Source organism: Homo sapiens, chromosome 12, assembly GCF_000001405.40.
Source record: "Homo sapiens chromosome 12, GRCh38.p14 Primary Assembly".
Lineage (NCBI taxonomy): Eukaryota > Metazoa > Chordata > Mammalia > Primates > Hominidae > Homo > Homo sapiens.
In genome coordinates, this window is record NC_000012.12 from 14,465,276 (window position 1) to 14,489,987 (window position 24,712).

Sequence of the window (24,712 nt, forward strand, 5' to 3'; positions counted from 1 at the left end):
CTCATCTACTTTTTATGTAAAGTTATCTTTTATTTTGATTTGAAGATGGAAGTGTTTCAAATGCAAATGAATGTATTTTAACATTGTATATAAAAACCTTTGGTAGTAATCACTGATATTTTGGTAATATCACCTAGTGTATCTTAATACTCCACTGTGTAACATCAGTAGCCTAAAATTAGTTTTGTTAGTCTTTCAGGAACTTCATAGTCCAAAACAGATGCTCATTTGTAATAAATGAGGTAATTTGAATATATTTTTAAATAAATAGATAATATATTAATATTCTTCTTACAAAAAGAAGGTAATTCAGATAAGGTAGGAGAAATCAAAGGGCATTCTTTTTACTTCTGTACCCTGGAATACTTCTCTTTTAACAGGTGAATATTAACCCAACTTGATTTTTTAGACATACAGACTTATATATATACATATGGGAATACATAGGTAGTTTAACTTCCTGTATTTTTTTAAACATAAATTGTTTACTCTGTATGCATTCTGAAGATTTGCAAATGAAAGGAATGCCATAGTTTGACCAAGAGGGTTTTATCTCCAGAAAGAAAGGATGGGCTGTTTCAACATTTAAAAACTCCATGTTACCAAACAGGAAACCCTAAATAATCTCAATAGGTGCAAAAAACCTTTGATAAAATTTAATACATTCTCTCTTTTCCTCCCATTAGAAATTGGGACAAAATATACTTTGTTTATTTTCTGTGCTGTTCTGAAAGTAACATTTTTTAACTGCGAACTCATTACAAGTTAGTTGAAAAATGAACAAAGAAAGAAAAATCACCGATGATTGAACTACTGAGAAATACACATGTGTATTTTCTTGGATTTACTGCAACTGTTTCTACTGAATTTATTGGGAACATTTTTGACATACTAAATTTTTTTCTCCAAAAGAACATAGTGTGGAGGAATTATATTTTGTTTAACTATTTCCTCATGTTAGAACATTTAAGTTATGTGTATCTTAAATTATTTCCATGAGATACTGCTTAGAGTTAAAATTGCTGGGCCAGTGGAAAGTTTTTTTTAATCTGTATTGTGATCTGTATAGTAATCTGTATGGTATCTGAAAGATACTATAGCAGTGGTCTGTGAATTTGAGTTTTTATTTATGTATGTGACATGTTGACGGAAAAGTAGTTGGAGAAAACTACATGAATTGTTTCATATAAAGCAACTTAACTTTTTACATTTTGTAGATGTTTTTAAAAATGGCTTTTTTTACTTTTCAGAAAACCAGACAAACAAAACAATAGATGCTTCTGTCAGTAAGAAAGCAGCTGATAGCACATCACAGGTAAGATTTTTCCTTCTTCTTCAAAGTAAAATCCTAATTATGGTCCACAGGAAAATGAATTTTCATCATTCTTTGATTGAATGAAAATTGTTCTATGTGTGTTTTTTATAACTATCCAAACATTGTCTCACAGCTTCTCTGTAATGTTTGACAAGAATTGAGGTTTTTGTGTTTTGTCTTGTTTTGTTTTTGCATAACAGTTCTCTTAGAGGTAATAATTAGTTTATTCTATTAACTGACTGATTTGATTAATACAATTGACAATCCAGTCATTTGCCTTTACATACTGTAAAGATTGTCTGCAAAAAGAAAACACATGTAATTTCTTCCAGGTACATCTTTTTTAAGAGTGTCTCATTGGTTTACCTTCACTTGTACCACACTCTACCCCTACCACCTTTTTAATTTCCCCAAAGGTAATCAGAAATACCTTTTGAGGAAGAATTTTTTGTCTGTCTGCTTGTTTACTAGCACTTTGCCAGTCTTTGTACTTTTTCATATTAAATCTTAACCACCCGGTAATAGAATAACTACTTCTTTCCTGTATTAACAGTGTTCTTCCTTGTTCTTTATGGCTTTAGGTGTAGTGAATTTATAGTGATTAGATTGTTGATAGTTTTATTTTATTTTCTTCACTTCCTTTGAATCATTTCAAGGAGCTCATATATTCCCAGCAGAACAAAAATCTCGAGCATGTCAGGCATGAAAAAATGACAAGAATTTTAAAACAAGGGCATCATTTGATCTTTAAATATGACTATTTTCTTTAAAAACGATGGATTTTGACCAACCTAGATGTACACCATAGTTTATAGATCAAATAAAAGCTATTAAAAATATCTTAACTTCTTAGAAATGTTAGCAGTCTTTGTGTGCAGTATTAGAGATCAGAGTTGTGATTGTTTCTGAGCATGTCTTGTGGGTTATAACTATGTTTTCAATTAAAATTATAAGATTGAGATACTTTCTGGAAGATGTATAGAAAATGTTGATATATTCAGTGATACTTAAGTGACATTTATAGGAAGTCTAGTTAAACTTTAAACAAAGGATTTATGAACATCTCTACTTCCCTCAGTGAGTTTTTTTTTTTTTAACAAGTAATATTTTCAAGGAAAGGAAAATGGACATTATGATGGCTGTCTTTTGTCCTTTTGTAAATGGTGGTTCTTCTAGAGCTGTGCTATCTAATATGATAGCCACTAGTCACATGTAGCTATTTAAATTAAATTAAAAATTTAGTTCTTCAGTCAAAACCCCATTTCAAGGTTCAGTAGCTACAAATGGCTAGTGGCTAGCATATTGGACCACACAGATACAGACTGTTTTCATCATTGCAAAAAGTTGTATTAAACTCTATTGTATAGAATATTTTGCTGAAATATAGTATATGTGGCTGGGCATGGTGTCTCACACCTATAATCCTAGCACTTTGGGAGGCCGAGGCGGGCAGATCACCTGAGGTCAGGAGTTCAAGACCAGCCTGGCCAACATGGGGAAACCGCAACTCTACTAAAAAGACAAAAATTTGCCTGGTGTGGTGACGGGCACCTGTAATCCCAGCTACTTGGGAGGCTGAGGCAGGAGAATTGCTGGAACCCAGGAGGGCGGAGGTTGCAGTGAGCTGAGATCATACCACTTTACTCCAGCCTGGGTGAAAGAGCGAAACTCCATCCCATCTCAAAAAAAAAAAAAAAAAGAAATATAATATATGTAACATCATAAATACATAAGTGAAATTAAAATGGATATAATATAAGACACTTGAGGTGGGGTGTAGTGGCTCACGTCTATAATCCCGGCACTTTGGGAGGTGAAGACAGGAGGATCACTTGAGCCCAGGAGGTCGAAACCAACCTGGGCAGCAAAGTGAGACTCCGTCTCTATAAAAAAGAAGAAACTTAAAAAAAAAAAAAAAGACACTTGAAACAGGAATTGACTTCATCAGAAAGCAAAGCAATAGTACAAATTAATATTAAGCTCTCAATAGATATTTTATTTGGCTTCAAGGAAGAGGAATTTAATATCTGAGTATAAAAAATGCGTACAAGCAGTTTGAGCAGCTAGCCTGCTGAAGCAATGCCTTATCAAAAATAACAAAGTTTCAGTTTTGAATCAGTGTCAATTATGTATATGAATAATAAATATAATTACAGGAGTTTTATTGTGTAATAAGAAACCATAATGGAAGTATATATGTGCTTTCAGTTATGAAGTTATGCTTGTCAGCCAGAATTTTTTGAAACAAATATCATTTTTGTTATTGTGATGAATACCTTTATTAATGTTACACTATTGACTAAGAAGTTGTTATCTTTTTACCCTAATGTGCACCTTGCTAGCAGATAGAAACTAGTGTGAAACAGGTAGCCTGTGATTCTTTGAATTGTCACATTTTAAGTACAATTGGCTAACTTCATTTTTCTGTCCCAAGCCTACTTAGTTGTACTTGTTAACACTTTAAGGTTATTTAGATCAGAAGAAATCTGGATGTCTCAGGCCAGGTGCAGTGGCTTACACCTATAATCCCAGCACTTTGGGAGGCCAAGACGGGCAGATCACTTGAGGTCAGGAGTTCGAGACCAGGCTGGCCAACATGTCTCTACTAAAAATACAAAAATTAGCTGGTCGTGGTGGTGCACGCTTGTAATCCCAGCTACTTGGGAGGCTGAGGCAGGAGGATCACTTGAACCTGGGAAGAGGAGGTTGCAGGTTGCCAAGCCAAGATAATGCCACTGCATTCCAGCCTGGGTGACAGAATGAGACTGTCTCAAAAAAAAAAAAAAAAAAAAACTTGGACATCTAGTGTGGAAATGCTTGTGAGCTGTAGTTAATTAGCAAATGATGAAATATGTAAAATACTCTTTCTGTAGTTGTTAAATGAAGATTTATCTGATATCCCCAAATAAGTATTTATTAACATATTGCATATAATTTATTATTGTATATTTTATTACTATATATCATTTTATATAATGAATTGTTTTATATAGTGAAAAACAAATTTATTCAAATTATCAACATAAGCTATAAAATAGTGTTGCTATCTGTAATTGTTGTTTTGAAGGACTCAAGATTCACCTTTAAGTTTGCTGATTTGCTAGAAGGATTTCATAAGACCCAGTAGTAGGTTATACTCACCATTATGATTTGTCACAGCAAAAGGTATAGAGCAAGAGCAACAGGGAAAAAAATTTGCAGAGTTGAAGTTCAGAGAGATCAGGCAAAGACTTCCAAGTCGTCTGTCTGGGATCGCACAGAATTTGTTTTTTCTCTGGCTTATTAACCTTAGAGACATGTGCCAAGAGTCTTCCCAGAGAAGCCTGACTGAGTCTCAGGGTCTGAGGTTTTTTGGAGGTCTGGTCACATAGTGACATTTTTCTATATAAGTGGCCATGGCATTGGAAACTCAGGATCCCAACAATGAAACCCAAGTGTACATCATCAATCTTCATTCACTGTTCAGAGTGTATATAAGAGAATTAATTGTTAACATGACTTCCAAGGGCAACGTTCTTGATAACTAACCAAGTCTCAATTATGGGTCCAAGTTCCCTTGGAGAGATGTGCAAGGAATGAACAACCAGCTCTTCTGCGTGAACTCTTTCTTCACATTTGCTGAAGTGTGCCTTTCAAGTATATTCTTGTTTCATTACAAAAAAGCTACAAAGCCAATATGTTTGCTCTCTTGAAATTTTCTTAGTGTTTGCTTATTGAGACTGGTCGTTTTGGAAAACGACACATGATTAGCTAAGTTTTTAATAAAATTTCTACTGTTAAAAACTATTTGATATAATTTTTTAATGATTTCAAACTGAAGGTTTCAGTTTGTAAAAACATAAACGTGTTTCTGATTAGATTTCTCAGACAATGTTTTGTCAGGAAAAGATGTAAAGATACATGTATATGTATACATGTCTCTGTTTGTTCATTTCCACCTGGTGGCATAGAAATAATAAGGTCTACAGTCAGACAGCCTGGAGCCTGTCACTTAATAGTGGGTGCTTTGGCAAGTTATTGAACACCTTAGATTTTTCACTTATAAAGTAGAGCTAGAGCTAGTACTTACCACATAGAAATATTGGGAAGAGTAAATGTGTTAATGCATGTAAAGCATTTAGCACAGAGTCTAATTGGAGTAGTGCTAGCTATCATGACTATCTTATAAATGTAGTTAATAATTATGGAAATAATTACCAATTTTATTTGTCAAAAAAGAAAGTCTATTCAGGAAACTACTTGTAGTATATGATAATAAATTGTATCTGTCAGTTTATGATCAATAAAAATCATAATTTATCATTAGGTCATTGCTTGTAGATCTTCTTGATCTATATAAGCATTTAATGATACACATATTCCTCTGAGCACTGCTTTGCCTGCATTCCATAAATTTTCATGTGTTGCATTTTTATTTCATGTAGTTCCTTGTCATTTCCTTTTGGGTCCTGGGTTGTTTAGTTAGTAATTTGTTTAATTTCGTAATATTTGGGGATTTTGCAAATTTTTTATTATTGATTTTTCATTTAATGCTATTGGATTTAGAAAATATCCTCTGTATGACTTTGTTACTTTTACACAAATTAAATATGTGTTATAAAGCCCCATCTATGGTATATATCTTAGTGAATGTACCATTACACTTGAAAAGATTATGCTGCTATTGGGTGTAATGTTTTATAAATGTCAATATAGCATGGTTAGTAGTGTAATTTGGATTATTTGTATGTTTACTGATTATTGCCTTTTGCTGTAGTGGTTTTATCTATTACTAAGAGTGGTATGATTGTGAATCGATTTCTTCCTTTAATTTTGTCAGTTTTGCTTCATAGGTTTTGACACTGTATTACATGGTGTTTTTTATGTATAATTTGTAATCTTGCCATACTTTTATCATTATAAAGTTTCCCTCTTTGTCTCTCTGACATTAACATAGTTACAGCAGCATTTTTTTTTAACTCTTAAAGAAAAAAGTTTAATTGAGTCACAGTTCCACAGGGCTTGGGAGGCCTCAGGAAACTTATAGTCATGGCACAAGGGGAAGCAAACATGTCCTTCTTCACATAAGGGCAGGGAGGAAAGAATGAGAGCAGAGCAAAGCGGGAAGCCCCTTACAAAACCATCAGATCTTGTGAGAACTTACTATGAGAATAGCATGGGGGAAACTGCCCCCATGATTCAGTTACCTCCCACCCAGTCCCTCCCACCACACATGGAAATTATCAGAACTACAATTCAAGATGACATTTGGGTGGAGACATAGCCAAACCATATAAGGAGGTAGGACCCTGTATTCATTATCTTGCTACTTTTCTAAGTTACCTGTGTGTATAGAGTTTAAGAAATGATCATTGGAAAAAGGCAATGATGCTCTTGGAGGAATGCAGATCTAACAATTGAATGTTTAAAACCAATATTCCATGTATATTGTATTAAAAGCCTTTAGAATAAAAGTATCTATCCATATTTATTTTTTAAAGCCAAAGTGTATATTAGTGCCACATATATCGTATAGCCTTATAGTGTAGTATTTTAAGGACATCTTAACTGCCCTCTAATGCCTTGAAATCTGGCTACATATCTGACTTATTACCCTGCCCCTAATTAGTAGTGTTTTATGCTAAGTAAGCATCCTTATCTATTGAATAAATGCTAATAGTAAATGATGAGACAAAAGTTGCCATCAAGTTGCGTTTTTATGAAAAAAATGTGGTTATGAAAAGCATGAAAAAGCATGATTTTCATTTATAAATTAGTCACACATTTCTTTGTTATTTAGAAAATAAAAATTATACTAATTAGCAATCATTTATCAGCACCAAGTGAATATTCTGTCAACTGTTTGACCTTGTAGTTGCTATTGCCCAGCTTGAATGTGTGTAGGGATGTAGGTATATACGCATACCTATTTTCCCACCTGCACCCCACCAGTAACTTTTGTTGCCCTTTCTTTCCTGAAACCACCCTGGTCCAGATCTTTCCCATTTTTCTTCACCTTGACTTCTTAATAACATTCAGCACCACTCAGTCTCCTTCCTTTTTGAAACATTAGTTTCTCTTGGTTTCCATGCCATTCACATGCTTTTGATTTTCCTCTACATCTCTTCTTGGGAGATCTCATTCACTCCTGGGATTCAGTTACTGCATATATTCTTATGTCTGGCATATTTAAACCTCTAGTTCAAATCTCTGTTCATCTTCAGTCATCCATATATGTATATGAATGTATGCACACACACACACTATATTAATCTCTTCTCACATTGCTAAAATGAAATACCTGAGACTCAGTGATTTACAAAGACGAGGTTTAATTGGCTCATGGTTCTACAGCAGCATTTTTATGTTTACTGTTTGCATGTTACTTTTTTCAGCTTTTTACTTTCAATCTGTGTCTTTATATTTAAAGTGAATCCGCAAGAGAAAAAAAATCATATTTCTTGATTTGTTGCTGTGTTATCCCATCTGATAATCTCTACATTTTGGTCGGAGTTTTTAGACCATTTATAGTTAATATAAGTATTGATAGGATTGTGTTTAGGTCTGCTATTTTGCTATTTGTTTTCTATTCATTTCATCTGTTTTCTTTTTTTGTTGGTTTCTGTGTACCTTCTTTCCTGCTTTATTTTGTATCAGTTTTTTTTAAAGCATTCTGTCTTAATTCCTCTGTTAGCTTTTTAGCGCGCTCTCTCTCTCTCTCTGTGTGTGTGTGTGTGTGTGTGTGTGTGTGTGTGTGTGTTTTAGGGGTTGTTCTAGAGTTTACAGTATGTATCTAATCTTAATTATAGGAACCTTGCAATTTTATGTGTACATTTACCTCCTTAATGAAGTTGCTTTCCTTAAATATGACGTTCATGTTTTCACATATATTGTGGTCTTGTTTGCACATATATTACATTGTTTTTAATCTTCATGTTGTAGATCTCTAAATATATTGTTTTTAATTTTTGCCTTATAGAATTTTAAAGAAATTAAGAACAGAAAATAGATATAGTCTTTAATATTTATCCTTATGTTTACCTTTTCTGGTCCTCTTCTTCCTATGATCCAAGTTGGTATTTCCTTTCAAACTGAAGAATGTCCTTAAGCTCATCTTTACAGTGTAGATCTGCTAGTGATACATTCTCTTGGTTTTTTAGTATCTAAAAAATGTACTTTTGTATCTTTTGTCTCCTTTTTTCAAGGAGAGCATCATTGGATATAGAATTCTTAAAGGTTTTTTTTTTTTTAAATTATCGGCACTTTGAATATGTTGTTCCAGTGTCTTCTTGCTTCCATAGTTTCTGACCAATAGTCAGCAGTTACTCTTTGCTCCTGTATAACGTATAATTTGTTCTGTTTATTTTCAAAATTTTTCATTATTGGTTTTCAGTATTTGAACTATGATGTGTATAGTTATGATTTCTTAGTGTTTCTTCTGCTTGAGGTTCGTTGAACCTCTTGGATTTGTAAACTAATGTTTTCCACCAAATTTGGGAAGTTTTTGGTTATTATTCAATTTTTTCTTTAGATCTTTGTTTCTTCTCATTTAGGGTTTTGCTGAACTGTTTCTTATTGCACAAGTTTCAGGCGTTTTTCATATTTTCTTCTGTTTTTCTTTGTGTCCTATGGACTAGAAAATTTCTATTGATCTAGCATCAATTTCATTTGAGTTTTTCCTGCCCCCTCCAATCTGCTTTTATGCCTACATTAAGCTAATTTTTATTTTAGTAATTATTTTTTCAGCTTTATTATTTCTTTTTTTTTCAGTTTCTTTTTCTCTTTTGAAATTTCCTGTTTGTGCATTCGTTATTATTATATTTAATTCTTTGAATTTTTTTTTTTTTTTGAGATGGAGTCTTGCTCTGCCACCTAGGCTGGAGTGCAGTCGCGCAATCTCAGCTCACTGCAACGTCCGCCTCCCAGGTTCAAGCGATTCTCCTGCCTCAGCCTCCCGAGTAGCTGGGACTATAGACACCCACCACCATGCCTGGCTAATTTTTGTATTTTTAGTAGAGATGGGGTTTCACTATATTGGCCAGGCTGGTCTCAAACTCCTGACCTTGTGATTTGCCTGCCTCAGCCAACCAAAGTACTGGGATTACAGGCGCGAGCCACTGCTCCTGGCTTTAAACATATTTTTAATAGCTACTTTCGAGTCTTTATCTGCTGGATGTAATATCTGGCTCTGCTTAGAGTCAGTTTGTATTGACTTATTTTTTCGTCCTAAGTTAGTTCCACTTTTCAAAGCTGGACCTTAATGATAATATGTTGTAGTGAAAGATTATTTTACATTTGTTGATGATTTTTGGGATCTTTTAGTTTGGGATTTTATAGATTTTTGGTGTTTGTAAATAACCCATTTTCTGTGAAATCATTATTGTAGAAAGATTTATAAGAATGAGAATTGCATTATTGTCTTGGGATTGGGCCTGGATATTATAAAGTCAAGGCATTATTTTCTTTAATTTCTCAACTTGAGTATCGCAGATGAAAACCTTTATCATTTGGAATTGATCTCAGTATAATATATCAAAGTAAATTGTGATTATCAGTTATTAAGCAATTGCCATGTATCATATATGGTGTTAAGCACCTTATATACACATTTGGATTAATCCTCACAATAGCCTCAATATTCAAATATTGGAAATTGAGATAATTACCCATCTGAATCAGGTAGCTAATAAGTTAGAACTGTAAGACACACTGACTTCAGAGTCCTGGCTCTTTAGGTTTATGTCGTCTTACCTTCCTTTTTGGTTGCTGTCATGTGGTTTTAAAGGTTTTTCTTATAATCCTAATATTTCTCATGATTTTGGATGATGGGTTACTGGTCAGCTTGGATGTGCAGTTAATAGCATAGCATACCATATGATTTCATAGTATACCATACCATTTTTTTAGGGCAAAAATTTAGATTATTTTCTATAACCCAATTCTAGCTTTAATGATTGCCTTTGGTGTTGTGGTAGATTAATATTGATAATTTAGAGTAGTATTGATCAACATTTTAAATGTCACAAAATGAATAGTGTTTCTGTTTAATCTTATTTGCTCTATGCAACAGATAGCTTAGTTTTTTTAAGAAAACGTCTTGAATTTCTTTTGAAAATTATATTTCATATAGTAGATGTTTAACACATGAGTATCCTGGGACATTTGTCTGACAAACTCTCTTTATTCAGGTACAGCCATTTAAGGGTCCAGATTGAACCAGGTTACTCATTAGTCTCATTTTACCTCACTTATCATCTCATTTTTTAACACGTATATCTGCCAGAGTTTTCTTTGTAAAATGTAGAAGTTTTGTTTTTCAGTGTGGAAAAGCCACTGGCAGTGATTCAAGTGGTGTCATTGATCTCACAATGGATGATGAAGAGAGTGGAGCTTCACAAGGTACTTCAATAGTAATTGTACTAAGCAACGTTTTGATACCATTTTTTTTGTCTTAATACGGTACAGTATTCTACAAAGACAGATGTTTATGGCATTATGCTTGGTTTATTTGTGTTCTTTTTGGAATGGAAGTTTTTTAGATTAGAATTTTAAAATTTGGCCAGGTGCAGTGTCTCACACCTGTAATCCCAGTGCTTTGGGAGGCCAAGGCAGGAGGATCGAGGCAAGAGGTCAGGAGTTTGAGACCAGCCCGGGCAATGCGGTGAAACCCCGTCTCTATAAAAAATTTAAAAATTAGCTGGGTGTGATGGCATGTGTCTGTGGTCCCAGCTGCATGGGAGGCTGAGGCAGGAGGATAGCTTGAGCCTGGGAGGTTGAGGCTGCCGTGAGCTGTGTTTATGCCACTGCATTCCATCCTGGGTGACAGAATGAGGCCCTGTCTCAAAAAAAAAAAAAAAAAAAAAAAAGGATAGAATCAAATCTTAAATGAGTATGAACAATGTGTAGAGGAAAACAGCAATTAAGAGAATATTGTAATTTTTGGAGTACCTCTGTTTTTGTATCTGTTATTTCACTTGATCCTTGCAAAAAAATCCTGTAATACTCATTTTAGACTTGAGGAAACTTGTTAGCCTTAGAGAAAACAATTCAGACTCAGTAAGGGTCTTGGGAGTAAAATCCAGCTCTTCTGTCTCTACATTAAATGTTCTTTTTCTCTCTCTGTTTATGTTTCAGTGCAGATACTGTATATATATGTATTCATTTAATTTTGGTCATTTGAATTAATTTCTTTTATCTAGCATTATATAAATAAAAATAGAAGTAATTTCTAAAAACGTTCACATCCAAAATAATAATGTTCTGAGTTATAATATTTAGAAACTGTAAACCATATTCCTAGTTATTCTGCAGTGTTAATAGGTGTTTCATGAATATAAAGTTCCATGGTTAAGTATGTTTGGAAAATGCTGAGTTTAAAGTTAAATTGATTTTTTTCTTAATGCAGACTTCTCTGAGCCTTTACTATGCTAATTTATAATGTAAATCTCCAAGAATGATTTAAGATATAAAGTATTTCTCAAACTTACTTGGCTGTGCAAAATAACGTTCAGCTACATATCTATAAAACTGGTGATTATTGCACATGGAAAATATAATATCATGTGCTGAGTTACTTCTTATTATCTTAAAGACATTACTTTTTTCTAAAACACCCAAATATTTTAAAAATAATATTTTGGGGAATCAGTCTAGTTGAGCTTTGGAAAACAAAAGTTAAATAGCTGTACAACTGATTATATGACAGTAAAGTCGGTTTTGTTATTTAAAACTGAATTGAGAAATGTATGCCATCCTTCATCCGGGTTGAACTCAAGCCAGTATGATTATTCTTTAAAAGTTTCAAATTATCTCTATTGCTTTCACTTATCTCTATTGCTTTCACTAATTTTTAATAGACAGCCATGACTATTATAATGGATCCCTAAAGAAAAAAATAAATACAGGTTTTTGAGAGGACACAGGTAGGCTTAATTCTGGATTAAAAAGTAAAGTCCTAAAAGTTTGTTTTCAGTGCTCTCACCATTTCCCTAGCATCCATGCCTCATGGGGTCTTTTTGTTGCCCCACCTTTGGGTCTGTCTCAAATTCTCACATTCCTAAAGCACACTGTTTTCCAATGGCATTAAAGTATCCATTGTTAAAGCCTTGGGTTTTATTTACATTTAGTGTGGAATTCTATAGGACAGAAATTGATGGGGATTATTTTGGATAGAAGGACTTTTGGGTCACAATCTTCATAGTGGTTTCCTGTTTTTAAGAGTTTTTTCTGAGATGCAAATATTTATTTCATAGGCTATTGAAGACCTTTTTTGAGATTAGTCATTCTTTGACTATTTTAAAGACTATATAGTGATGATAAGCAACTATCTGTTATCAAAGAACCTAAATAATTGTAGTAATTGAAATTCAAGATCACAGTGAAAACTCATCAGTTTATAGATATTTGTCTAGAAGAGTGTTCTTCCTATAGGTAGGTAGATTATATATTTATGCAAGTAATGAGTTATTCTAGTTGACATATTGTACTGATTTACAAGTAAGATTATTTCTGAATTTCTGTAAACGTGAATTTGAATCTGTGATAGAACCACCAGCAAATTACATATGCTCTTAACTCAGTTTTCAAATCAGCAAAAATACACGTAAGTAAAATGGAAATAAATTATTCTCTTAGAGGTAAATGTGACACACAAGTGGCAAGCAAAAGTAAAATTTGTCCATAGAGGAAAGACTTGTATTTCCTGATTTTTTTCTTGTCAGTCATAATATTTCACTTTTAACTAACAGACCCCAAAAAACTAAATCACACTCCTGTATCAACCATGAGTTCTTCTCAGCCTGTGTCACGACCATTGCAACCCATACAACCAGCACCGCCTCTTCAACCATCTGGGGTGCCAACAAGTGGACCATCTCAGACCACCATACACTTACTACCTACAGGTAAATTTGTTGAATCATTGAGTAGAAGCTTTGGTTTTGCCTGTAGAGAACTATGACTATGGAGTTAAGTGGAAAGATAAGACAGAAAATTAATATTCATCTTGTTAATTTGAGGACTACAGTGCATGTCCTTTTGAAGGCAGTATAACTTAGTTTTTCTGACTGTCTTAAGCAGCGGCACTGGTAAAGAATGATTTTAAAGAAAAGTATATATTTATTTACTTAACATTATATAAATAAAAGTGGAGGTAATTTTAAAAAGCATTCACATCCAAAATAATAATATTCTGAGTTATAATATTTAGAAACTGTAAACCATATTCCTAGTTATTCTGCAGTGTTAACAGGTGTTTCATGAATACAAAGTTCCATGGTTAAATATGCTTGGGAAATGCTGAGTTTAAAGCTAAATTGATTTTTTTCTTGATGCAGACTTCTCTGAGCCTTTACTATGCTAATTTATAATGTAAATCTCCAAGAATGATTTAAGATATAAAGTGTTTCTCAAAGTTACTTGGCTGCGCAAAATAATGTTCACCTAATATCTATAAAACTCTGGTGATTACTAATGCATGTGGAAAATAATACTATTCTGAGTTATATTCTTGAGACCAGCCTGGGCAACACAGTGAAACCCCGTCTCTACAAAAAATTTAAAAATTAGCAGATTTGTCATCTGCCACAGCAAATGTTCTGTAAATGGCAGAAATGACTGTAGTTTCTCTGGAAGGGATGGATATGACTTATTCTGAGTGTAACCAAGAAGTTATAACTGACTGATCAAACAACAATTTTTAAATGTGTCTTATCTTGAAATAGCTTTAACTAGTCTAACACTACCACCAGGAATCATATGCTTGCTACCTTTCAAGAAGCTGTAAATTCAAAATTTTCAAGATTTAGCCTGTATCTCCTAAACTGTTCAGAAACCAATCAACATGGTTTGTCTTCTGTATAGCAGCAGTCCATTGCTTGAAGATTTATCTGCACAGTACTTATATAAGTACTCTTCTCATTAAGGAAAACATTGAATTTAAGTGGGGTTTTATCCAGTGAAATTTATACTTAAAACACCAGATATCTTGTAGGAATCAGGATGTTTTCCATAGTGATTTAGCAAACTATTTGTTAATTAACCTTTGAGTTATGAAATTATTGTTGATGCAGCAAATGTGTGGTTGTTTTGGTAGGGACTGTTTAGATTTGTTGAATTTCAGAATCTTAGATGCTTATGCAGACTTTCCTATCAGTTAAAATAAATTTTACCTTGTTGGCATTTCCAGGCAAAAGAATGTGCCTATGTGACTTTATTTCTGGTGTGTAGATTTTATATTGGTTCTCATATTTCAATACCATTGTTCTATCTAAATAGGCAGTTATAAGTAAGTTCAACCTTGGGAGCTGTATTATCTGTCTTTCTTTACATTTATACAAAGTTATAATGACAGTCATCAAAATTAGATATTTTGGAAGGAAATGTCATTATTCAAACCCATGGGCAGTGTAGATTATGGAATGGGGAGTAAAGAGATGAAAAAATAAATGTTCTTTCTTGTTAATACTTTCTTCTTTCTTCCCGTTTCTGAAGACTCACATCGAAAGTTAGTATCTGTAAAGACTGAAGAGTCTTTAGTAAAGAAACCGTTTTATCTTTGTTATAGCCAGTATTTTCCTCCAACTTTATTTTTTTATAGGACCCATTTTTTCCATAAGAAAGTAGATTGATTTGTTACTTTTTATTATATAGTTACTATGTGGTCATTTGTAAGATATGATTCTAATTCAGAGAGTTGTTAACAAGAAAGTGTCACTAAAAATCATTATTATAGATACATGCTGTCAGTGAATGTTTATGACTCATTTTTTGATAAATATTTATTAACATTACTCAAAGTATTAATGCTTTCTGGAACATACAATAGGAGGAATACCAGAGTAGAGAAGGGAGAAGTCTGTTGTTTAATGGATTTTATTTACTGTTTTAAAAAAAGATAGATTGGTTCAGCTAAACAAAATGTGAATTATAATGGTCAAAGAGATAGGTTGGCTCACTTGAAAAATAAATGTGAATTAACAATAGCTGGTCAGTTTCTTGATCTTTGGGAATACAAAAATACTCTTTTGGATTTACACCCCCTTGGTAGAAGGCCGAGAGGGCTTATGATTCTACTTTGCTAAGAACAATTAAAATTAGGAGGTTTTTCTCTTTTAAGTCACTCCTGTGGCATCATACTCTTAATTCTGCACCTTTTTAAAAAATCTTCACATTGCTTATTATCTGGTCAAACCAGAGTGGGAAGGGAATTGGATGTGGTGGAGATGTTCTTTTCCTCTGAAGCTTGGATTTTAATATTATTAATGTTTATTGGCCCTATCATTTTTATCTTAGAAGATCATAAAAGGAGACTGTTATTTCTGTTTCTGTCTTTATTAGTTAATTAGATTTTATGCAAAGATAACTGCCATTTAATACTGTTTGCTTAACGTAGAATTTACTGTATTCTTAATATCTTTTTCTGCCTTGCATTAGCTCCAACTACCGTGAATGTAACACATCGTCCAGTAACTCAGGTGACCACAAGACTCCCTGTACCAAGAGCTCCTGCAAACCACCAGGTGGTTTATACAACTCTTCCTGCACCACCAGCTCAGGCTCCCTTGCGAGGAACTGTTATGCAGGCTCCTGCTGTTCGGCAGGTCAATCCCCAAAATAGTAAGAGATTTTTCTTGTATATGGCCCCAAGATACATGTAGTTCTCTTCAGCATTTAGTTGGAATGGCATATAATAATGTTAAATTTTGCAAAAATTTCTTATAATGTCATATTAAAAGTATTGTTATAAGTTCAAGAGATCTGTACTACAACATAGAAACTATAGTATAGTTAAAATCAATGTAGTATATTCTTGAAAATAGCTGATAGAGCAGATTTTAAGTATTGTCACCACACACAAAAAAGGTAAGTATGTGAGATCATGCATATGTCAGCTAGATTTAGCCATTCTGCAGTGTATGCATATTTCAAACATGTTGTATACCATAAATATATATAATTTTTGTCAATTAAAAAATAGTTTTCAAAAAAGAAATGGCAGTATAACCAAAACTAATCTATTATTATTTTTCTTCCCTTAGGAGAGTTAAACAGAGAAAATTGTTGATGTATACTAGTTGATTTGTGCTCTGAGTGTTGTCTTTAATTTAACTTTATTTATGGCCTGTATTAGTATAGTACACAATTTGATATTGGTATATTCTCTACTCTATTAAGAAACACCTTACCTAGTTAGAGTGGGAATGGTCAATTGTGATTTACCCCAGATGATGGAAATCATGGTAAAGGATAGCCTTCAATGAGAGTCTTAAAGATATGGAAAGTGGCTGAGAAAAGAAGGGAAAATGTTAAAGAAAGCTTGTAGTTTCTTGTATATATCATATATTAGTTACATACATATGTTACATGCATGTTACATATGTAGATGACATTTTAAAATTATATATTAACCACATGTATATAAGCAGTAGTAGAATATATCACATAAACACAAGCTTATATAAAAGGTATATTTAAACTTTAAAGTAAAGAAAAATAATAAAATGAACTACGTATGAACTCTTCATCAGGTTAAGAAGTAGAAATTTTTCAGTATCCTGTAAGTGGTCTTGTATTCCTGTCTTGACTACATCCCTTTTCCTTTCCATCAAAGGTAACCACTGTTCCTACTTTTCTATTAGTCATTCTGCTTTTCTTTATGATTTTGCCACCAAAATTGATATCATTTAAACATACTAGGGTTCTCTAGAGGACAGAACTAACAGGATAAATAGATATATAAAGGGGAGTTTACTAAGTATTAACTTACATGATCACAAGGTCCCTCAATAGGCTGTCTGCAAGCTGAGCAAGGAAAGCCAGACTGAATCCCCAAACTGAAGAATTTGGAGTCCAGTGTCGAAGGGCAGGAAGCATCCAGCACAGGAGAAAGATGTAGGCTGGAAGGCTAGCCAGTCTCTCCATTTCATGTTTTTCTGCCTGCTTTGTATTCATTGACAGCTGATTAGATTGTGCCCACCAGATTAAAGGTGGATCTGCCTTCTCCAGCCCATTTTCTGCCTGCTTTGTATTCATTGATAGCTGATTAGATTGTGCACACCAGATTAAAGGTGGATCTGCCTTCCCCAGCCCACTGACTCAAATGTTAATCTCTTTTGGCAACACCCTAACAGACACACCCAGGATCACTATTTTGTATCCTTCAATCAAGTTGACATTCAGTGTTAACCATCACAAGTCCACCCCTTGTCAACTTGAATCCATACACATCTCCTCAGATCATACATATTCTTCAAATAAAGAGAGTAATAAGGCCATAATTAAACCTAACATAATACAACTATCCTTTGTACAACCGGAAACACACCAATCCCCAAGCCAAATACTATTACATAAAGTTAACAATACTTAAATGTTGGTAGGAAGTCAATAAATCTTATGTTACGTGATGAAGGAAAAGGAAATAAAGATATTTTCTTGTACAAGTGTATACATGCACAAACATGTTTTTAGCAAAAGAAGGAGGAAATACTCATGACAATTACAGTCTCTGAGTTGGCAACTGGTCACATGGTCCTGGCTGGTATTGATGACTACCTTCTTCTACTACCCATTCTGTGTTCTCTTTGCCTTCAGCAAGCACCTCAGCTGGTCGTGGTTTATTCCTGGTGGAATGACCCAAACCTTCATTCTTGAGTATTTTTATTGCTGCCTAAATTGAGCTATTATAGTTTCCTATTGGCCTTAATCACAGGGCATGGTAATACTAAGAGACACCCTAATGGATCTCCTGTATTCCATGCATACTCTTCCTTACCTCCGTTGTGGAGCAGTAGACTAACTTCTTCTTGGTAGTCCGGGACAGTCACCACAACCAACACTAACTCCTTCGCTAGCCTGTTGACTTAAAGGTAAGAGGAGCCCAAAGTGTCCAGGTGGCAATCTTAAGTTCCAGTTTAATGGAATCATTTTGTCTCCTGGTGGGAGCGTTCCTCCCTCTGGAACTAAGACCTCTAGGCCAGCAGAAAGTAATGTCGCAGGAACAGGAAGCAAAAATTTTGCTAGTGGATCCCTAGGGGTGAAGGTGAGTGGTGCTACTTCCACTTCCACCCCCTGATTCCTGGACCCATGAATCCTGGCTATGGGAGAAACAGCACCATATATAATGGATGCTGATTCAGAGCATACACGGCCTTCTGGAGAACTTTGCCCCAGCCCTGCAAAATACTGTCACCTGGTTGGGGTTGTAATTGTGACTTCAAAAGGCCATTCCTTTTGAATGCTTCAGGACAAAGGGGAACATGGTAAGACCAGTGGATTCCATGAGAACGAGCCCACTGCTGCACTCCTTTAGCCATAAAATGAGTGCTTTGGTCAGAGGCAGTGCTGTGTGGAATGCCATGACGGTGGATAAGGCATTCTGTGAGTCCATGGATAATAGTCTTGGCAGAAGCATTGTGTGCAGCATAGGCAAACCCATATCTGGAGTAAGTGTCTATTCCAGGGAGGACAAACCTCTTCCCTTTCCATGATGGAAGAGGTCCAGTATAATCAACCTGCCACCCGGTAGCTAGCTGATCACCCCGAGGAATGGCGTGCTGTATCGAGGGCTCAGTGTTGGTCTCTGCTGCTGGCAAATTGGGCACTCAGCAATGGCCATAGTCAGGTCAGCCTTGGTAAGTGGAAGTCCATGTTGCTGAGCCCAGGCATCACCTCCATCACTGCCACCATGGCTACCTTGTTCATGGGCCCTTTGGGTGATGACAGGGGTGGCTGGGGAAAGAGGCTGAGTGGTGTCCACAGAACAGGTCATCCTATCCACTGGATTATTAATATCCTCCTCTGCTGAGGTCACCCGTTGGTGAGCACTCACAAGGGATACAAATATCTTCATAGTTTTTGTTACAACCCATAAATATATATAATCATGCATCTGGCCATCTACCCTTCCAAGCAAAGTGCACAACTAGGTGTGCTGCTTGAAGTTCTGCCAACTGGGAATATTTCCCTTCACCGATGTCCTTCAGGGATGTCCTAGAAAGGGGCTGTAGTGCTGCAGCTGTGCACTTTACAGTGGTGCCTGCATATGGTGCAGAACCATCTGTGAACCAGGCCCTAGTCATCTGTTCCGCTGTCAAGTGATCATAGGGACCCCTGTGAGGCCATCAGTACAGGCTGGGGAAGAGAACGCAGCGTGACAGGAGTGGAGATATGGGCATTTGAGCCACTTCCTCATGTAAATTACTTGTGCCTTCGGAACCTGCTTGAGCCCAATCACGTATATACTGCTTCCATTTGATGATGGAATGCTGCTGTGCATGACCCGCTTTATGGCTAAATGGGTCAGAAAGCACCCAGTTCATGATAGTCATCTCAGGTCACATGGTGACTTGATGACCCATAGTCAAATGTTCAGTTTCCACCAAAGCCCAGTTAACAGGCCAAGAGCTGTCTCTCAAAAGGAGAGTAGTTACCTGCAAAAGATGGCAGGGCCTTGCTCCAAAATCCTGGAGGCCTCCACTGTGATTCATCTGTGGGGTCCTGCCAAAGGCTCTCACAGCATCCCTCTCTGCCCCTCACACCTCAAGCACCATTGAATCTGCTGGGTCCTATGGTCCAAGTGGCAGAACAGCTTGCTCAGTAGCATGGACCTGTTGCAGAGCCTTCTCCTGTTCTGGACCGCACTCAAAACTGGCAGCCTTTCAGGTCACTCGATAAATGGGCTGGAGTAACACACCCACATGAGGAATGTGTTGTCTCCAAAATCTAAATCGGCCCACTAGATGTTGTGCCTCTTTCTTGGTTGTAGGAAGGGCCAGATGCAGCAACTAGTCTTTCACCTTAGAAGGCCCCACACCACTGGACCCTAGAAATTTTACTGAGGTAGAAGGTCCCTGCATTTAGTAGGATTTATTTCCCATCCTATGGCACACAAATGTCTCATCAGTAAGTTCAGTGTTTTTGCTACTTCTTGCTCACTTGATCCAATCAGAATAGTGTCATCAGTGTAATGGACCAGTGTGATATCTTCCAGGAGCAAAAACCGATCAAGGTCTCTCTGAATAAGATTATGACACAAAGCTGGAGAGTTGATACACCCCTGAGGTAAGACAGTAAAGGTATATTGCTGTCTTTGCCCACTGAAGGCAAATTGCTTCTGGTGGGCCTTATGGACAGAAATGGAGAAAAAGGATTTGCCAAGTCAATGGCTGCACACCAGGTACTAGGAGATGTGTTAATTTTCTCAAGGAATGAAACCACATCTGGTACAGCAGCTGCAATTAGAGTCACCACTTGATTAAGCTTACAGTAATCCACTGCCATTCTCCATGATCCATCTGTCTTCTGCATAGGCCACATGGGAGAATTGAATGGGGATGTGGTGGCAAGCACCGCCCCTGCATCTTTCACGTCCTTGATGGTGGCACTAATCTCCTCAGTACCTCCAGGTATGGGATATAGTTTTTGATTTACTATTTTTTAGAGGCAGCTCTAATGGCTTCCATTTGACCTTTCCCACCATAGTAGCCCTCACCCTACCAGTCAAGGAGCCAATGTGGTGGTTCTGCCAGCTGCTAAGTATGTCAGTGCCAATTATGCATTTTGGCACTGGGGAAATGACCACAGGATGAATCCAGTAATCCACTGGACCCACTGTAAGTCAGACCTGAGATAAAATTCCATTAATTATCTGACCTCCATAAGCCCCTGCTTTAACTGGAGGACCACAATGATGCTTTGGGTCTCCTGGGATCAATGTAAGCTCAGAACCAGTGTCCAGTAGTCCCTGAAATGTCTGGTCATTTCCCTTTCCCCAGTGCACAGTTACCCTGGTAAAAGGCCAGAGATCTCCTTGGGGAAGGATGGGAGAAAGATTCACTGCGTAAATTGTCAGGAATGTAGTGGGGTCTTTCCTCAAGGGGACGAGGCCTCCCCTTCATTCAAGGGGTTCTTGGTCTGTAAACTGGCTCAAGTCTAGAGATTGATTGAGGGGTTATAATTCTCTTTTTATTATTCAATTTAGTCTTTTGTTCCATTGACCTAGAAGTTTTTTGGTTATATAAATTAAGTAGGAATGCAGTAGGCTTCCTATCAGTTTCATCTCTAGGAACACTGTGATTAATTATCCAATGCTAGAGCTCTATACAAGTCGGACTCTTCTAACTGCCACTTTGCCTCTGCTGTCCATTACGGTAGCTACGCCCACCTTGCCTTTGACAGTTGAGTGCCACCACTTGGCCCCTGCCAACTTAGGATCCAGTTATTTCCATTGTATTTAAATTTTGTAGTTCAGTGACTAAGGTTCCCACCGTTAGATCTGACATACAGAGACGAGCAATTAGAGGGCTCTTCAAAGATACAAGTGCTGCCCTCACAAATCTGTTTCGCAAGGCATTGGTCAAGGGTATATCTTCTGGACCCTCCCAGCTGGGATGACTAGCTCTAAAGTGACTGATTCACTCTACCATCCCAATCTCCTTAGTCTTTGGATCCCTTCCTCTACATTAACCAAGGGAGATAAATCATTTCCAGCTCACTCACAGTGTGCCATCTTTTAATCCTTATTTCAACTAACCAAGCAAATAATCTATTAGAACCTTTTTTTTTAACTCCCTGAGCTGCAACATTAAATGCAGAGTCCCTACTTAGTGGGCCCAAATCAAGAAATTCAGCCTGATCCAACTTTGTTCCTTCCATCATAATCTTATACCCTTAATATCCATCCCCATGCCTGTTCTCTAGGTTTCTGTTTATGTAAATTAGAGAACTCAAAACAGTTCTCTGAGTGTAGCATACCTCCTTATAGGTCACACCTTCAACCTCACCTCTAGGGGCCCACCAGTACTTTAGTGTAGTTATACATCTAGAAGCAAAGAGAGGTGTTTGGAGGGGCTCCTGAGAAGAGTCAACATTGTCTTACCTGGCAACTGCCTCAGAGGAGGCCATCACTGTTGCCTCACATATCACAGGCTTTATTTCCTCAGACAAAGTTGGAAAGACTGATGGCAGCATGGATCAGGGAGGGTACGTTGCCCTCACTGGGTGTAGGGAAGCTGTTCCAATCAATACCCTCACTTTAACTGTAGACACCTGGTGAGTCTGGTACATGCCTCTTTTGTTGTAGGTTAGCCAATTGTATGATAAGAGCTTGTGTCTGTTTTTCTACAATTTCAGCTCTTTCTCTATAGGAGATAACTGTCTCTCACTCAAGGCAGTCTTAGCAGATTTCAGGCTCAGTATTTGCTTCAGAAGCCAGGAGACAGAATCCCTGAGTTCATCATTTTCTTTTATCACTTTGTCCACTGAACTTAGGAGGAACCGACCAGTTTCATTATGTTCCTTGGTTCTCCACATATGGTCCAAGGTATCGTGTATAGAGTCCCTAAACTCCTTGCTTCTCACAAGTGGTGATTCAGGAGTGTCAAATGCATTTATTTTGCATAACTCTCTAAACAGTTCATGCCAGGTACTATCAGTGTTCTTTATACTACTAGAAGTAGAGTCCTTAGCATTTGTGGGTCTAATCATATTAAGCAGCCAACTCCAGAAACCCCAAAATCAATGAAAGAACTCCATCCTTAATATTCGGTTCTTCTAGACCCCCAATCCTGGTACCAAAATCTGAATTAGGGTTCTCTAAAGGGACAGAACTAATAAGATGGACACACACACATGCACACACACACGTATCCTATAAATTTGTAGATATAGTATATTTTTATATATATCTATAGTATAAAGAGTAGTTTATGAAATATTAACACGATCACAAGATCCCACAATAGTCTATCTGCAAGCTTAGGAGCAAGGAAAGCTAGTCTGACACCCAAAAACAGAGGAACTTGGAGGCCGATGTTTCAGGGTAGGAAGCATCCAGCACAGGAAAAAGATGTAGGCTGGGAGGCTAAGGCTAAGCCTGTCTCTCCTTTTCACGTTTTTCTGCCTGCTTTATATTTGTTGGCAGCTGATTAGATTGTGCCCAGCAGATGAAGGGTGGATCTGCCTTCCCCAGCCCACTGACTCAAATGTTAATCTCTTTTGGCAACACCCTCACAGACACACGCAGGATTAATACTTTGTGTCCTTCAATCCAATCAAGTGACATTTAGTATTAACCATCACAAGTCTACCGCTTGTCAACCTGAACCCATATACATCTCCTAATATCATACGCAGCCTTCAAATAAAGAGGGTAATAAGGCCATACTTATGCCTAACATAATACAATTATCCTTTGTACAACCAGAAGCGCACCAATCCCCAAGCCAAATACTATTACATAAAGTTAACAATACTTAAATGTTGATAGGAAGTCAATAAATCTTATGTCACATGATGAAGGAAAAGGAAATAAAGACATTTTGTTTGTACAAGTGCATACATGCACAAACATGTTTTTAGCAAAAGAAGGAGGAAATACTCATGACAATTACAGTCCCCATTTCTGCAACTGGTCACATGGTAGTAGCTGGTATTGATGACTACCTTTTTCTACTACCCATTCTGTATTCTCTTTGCCTTCAGCAAGCACCTCATCTGGTAGTGGTTTTACTCCTGGTGGAGTGACCCCATCCTTCATTCCTGAGGGGTCTGGGCCATTTTTAGTGCTGCCTAGATTGGGCTGTTATAGTTTCCTGTTGACCTCAATCACAGGGCATGGTAATACTAACAGACGCCTTAATGGATCTCCTGTATTCCATGTATACTCTTCCTTACCTCCATTGTGGAACAGTAGACTGATTTCTTCTTGGCAGTCCGGGACAGTCACCACAGCCAACACTAACTCCCTTGTTAGCCTGTTGACTTAAAGGTAGGAGGATCCCAAAGTATCCAGGTGGCAATCTTAAGTTCCAGTTTAATGGAATCATTTTGTCTCCTGGTGTGAGCGTTCCTCCCTCTGGAACTAAGACCTCTAGGCCAGCAGAACGTAATGTCGCAGGAACAGGAAGCAAAAATTTTGCAAGTGGATCCCTAGGGGTGAAGGTGAGTGGTACCACTTCCACTTCCACCCTCTGATTCGTGGACCCATGAATCCTGGCTATGGGAGAAACAGCACCATATATTGGACGCTGATTCAGAGCATACATGGCCTTCTGGAGAATTTTGCCCCAGACTTGCAAAGTATTGTCACCTAGTTGGCATTGTAATTGTGACTTCAAAAGGCCATTCCACCGTTCTGTAAATCCAGCTGCTTCAGGACAATGGGGAACATGGTAAGACCAGTGAATTCCATGAGCATGAGCCCACTGCTGCACTTACTCAGCCGTACAGTGAGTGCCTTGGTTAGAGTCAATGTTGTGTGGAATACCATGGCATTCTGTGAGTCCATGGATAGTAGTCTTGGCAGAAGCATTGTGTGCAGCATAGGCAAACCCATATCTTGAGTATATGTCTATTCCAGGGAGGAGAAACCTCTTCCCTTTCCATGATGGAAGAGGTCCAATATAATTAACCTGCCAC

At 36.7% G+C, this 24,712-nt stretch overlaps 1 protein-coding gene across 13 annotated transcripts in view; it reads left to right on the plus strand.

Moving 5' to 3' along the window:
- ATF7IP (activating transcription factor 7 interacting protein) overlaps window positions 1-24,712 on the plus strand; it is a 137,249-nt gene that overhangs the window by 99,594 nt on the left and 12,943 nt on the right. For 11 of the 13 annotated variants that reach the window (NR_170893.1, NM_018179.5, NM_001286514.2 and 8 more), the window contains 4 exons: window positions 1,251-1,315; window positions 10,615-10,693; window positions 13,042-13,197; window positions 15,728-15,910. Coding sequence is in view for 12 of the 13 variants with exons in the window: in NM_018179.5 (NP_060649.3) it covers window positions 1,251-1,315; window positions 10,615-10,693; window positions 13,042-13,197; window positions 15,728-15,910 (483 nt within the window). In the remaining variant the exon portion in view is untranslated. Of the gene's footprint in view, window positions 1-1,250; window positions 1,316-4,121; window positions 5,102-10,614; window positions 10,694-13,041; window positions 13,198-15,727; window positions 17,380-24,712 lie in introns of those variants that run through there. The other 2 variants (NM_001286515.2, XM_011520756.4) reach the window with 2 other exon arrangements.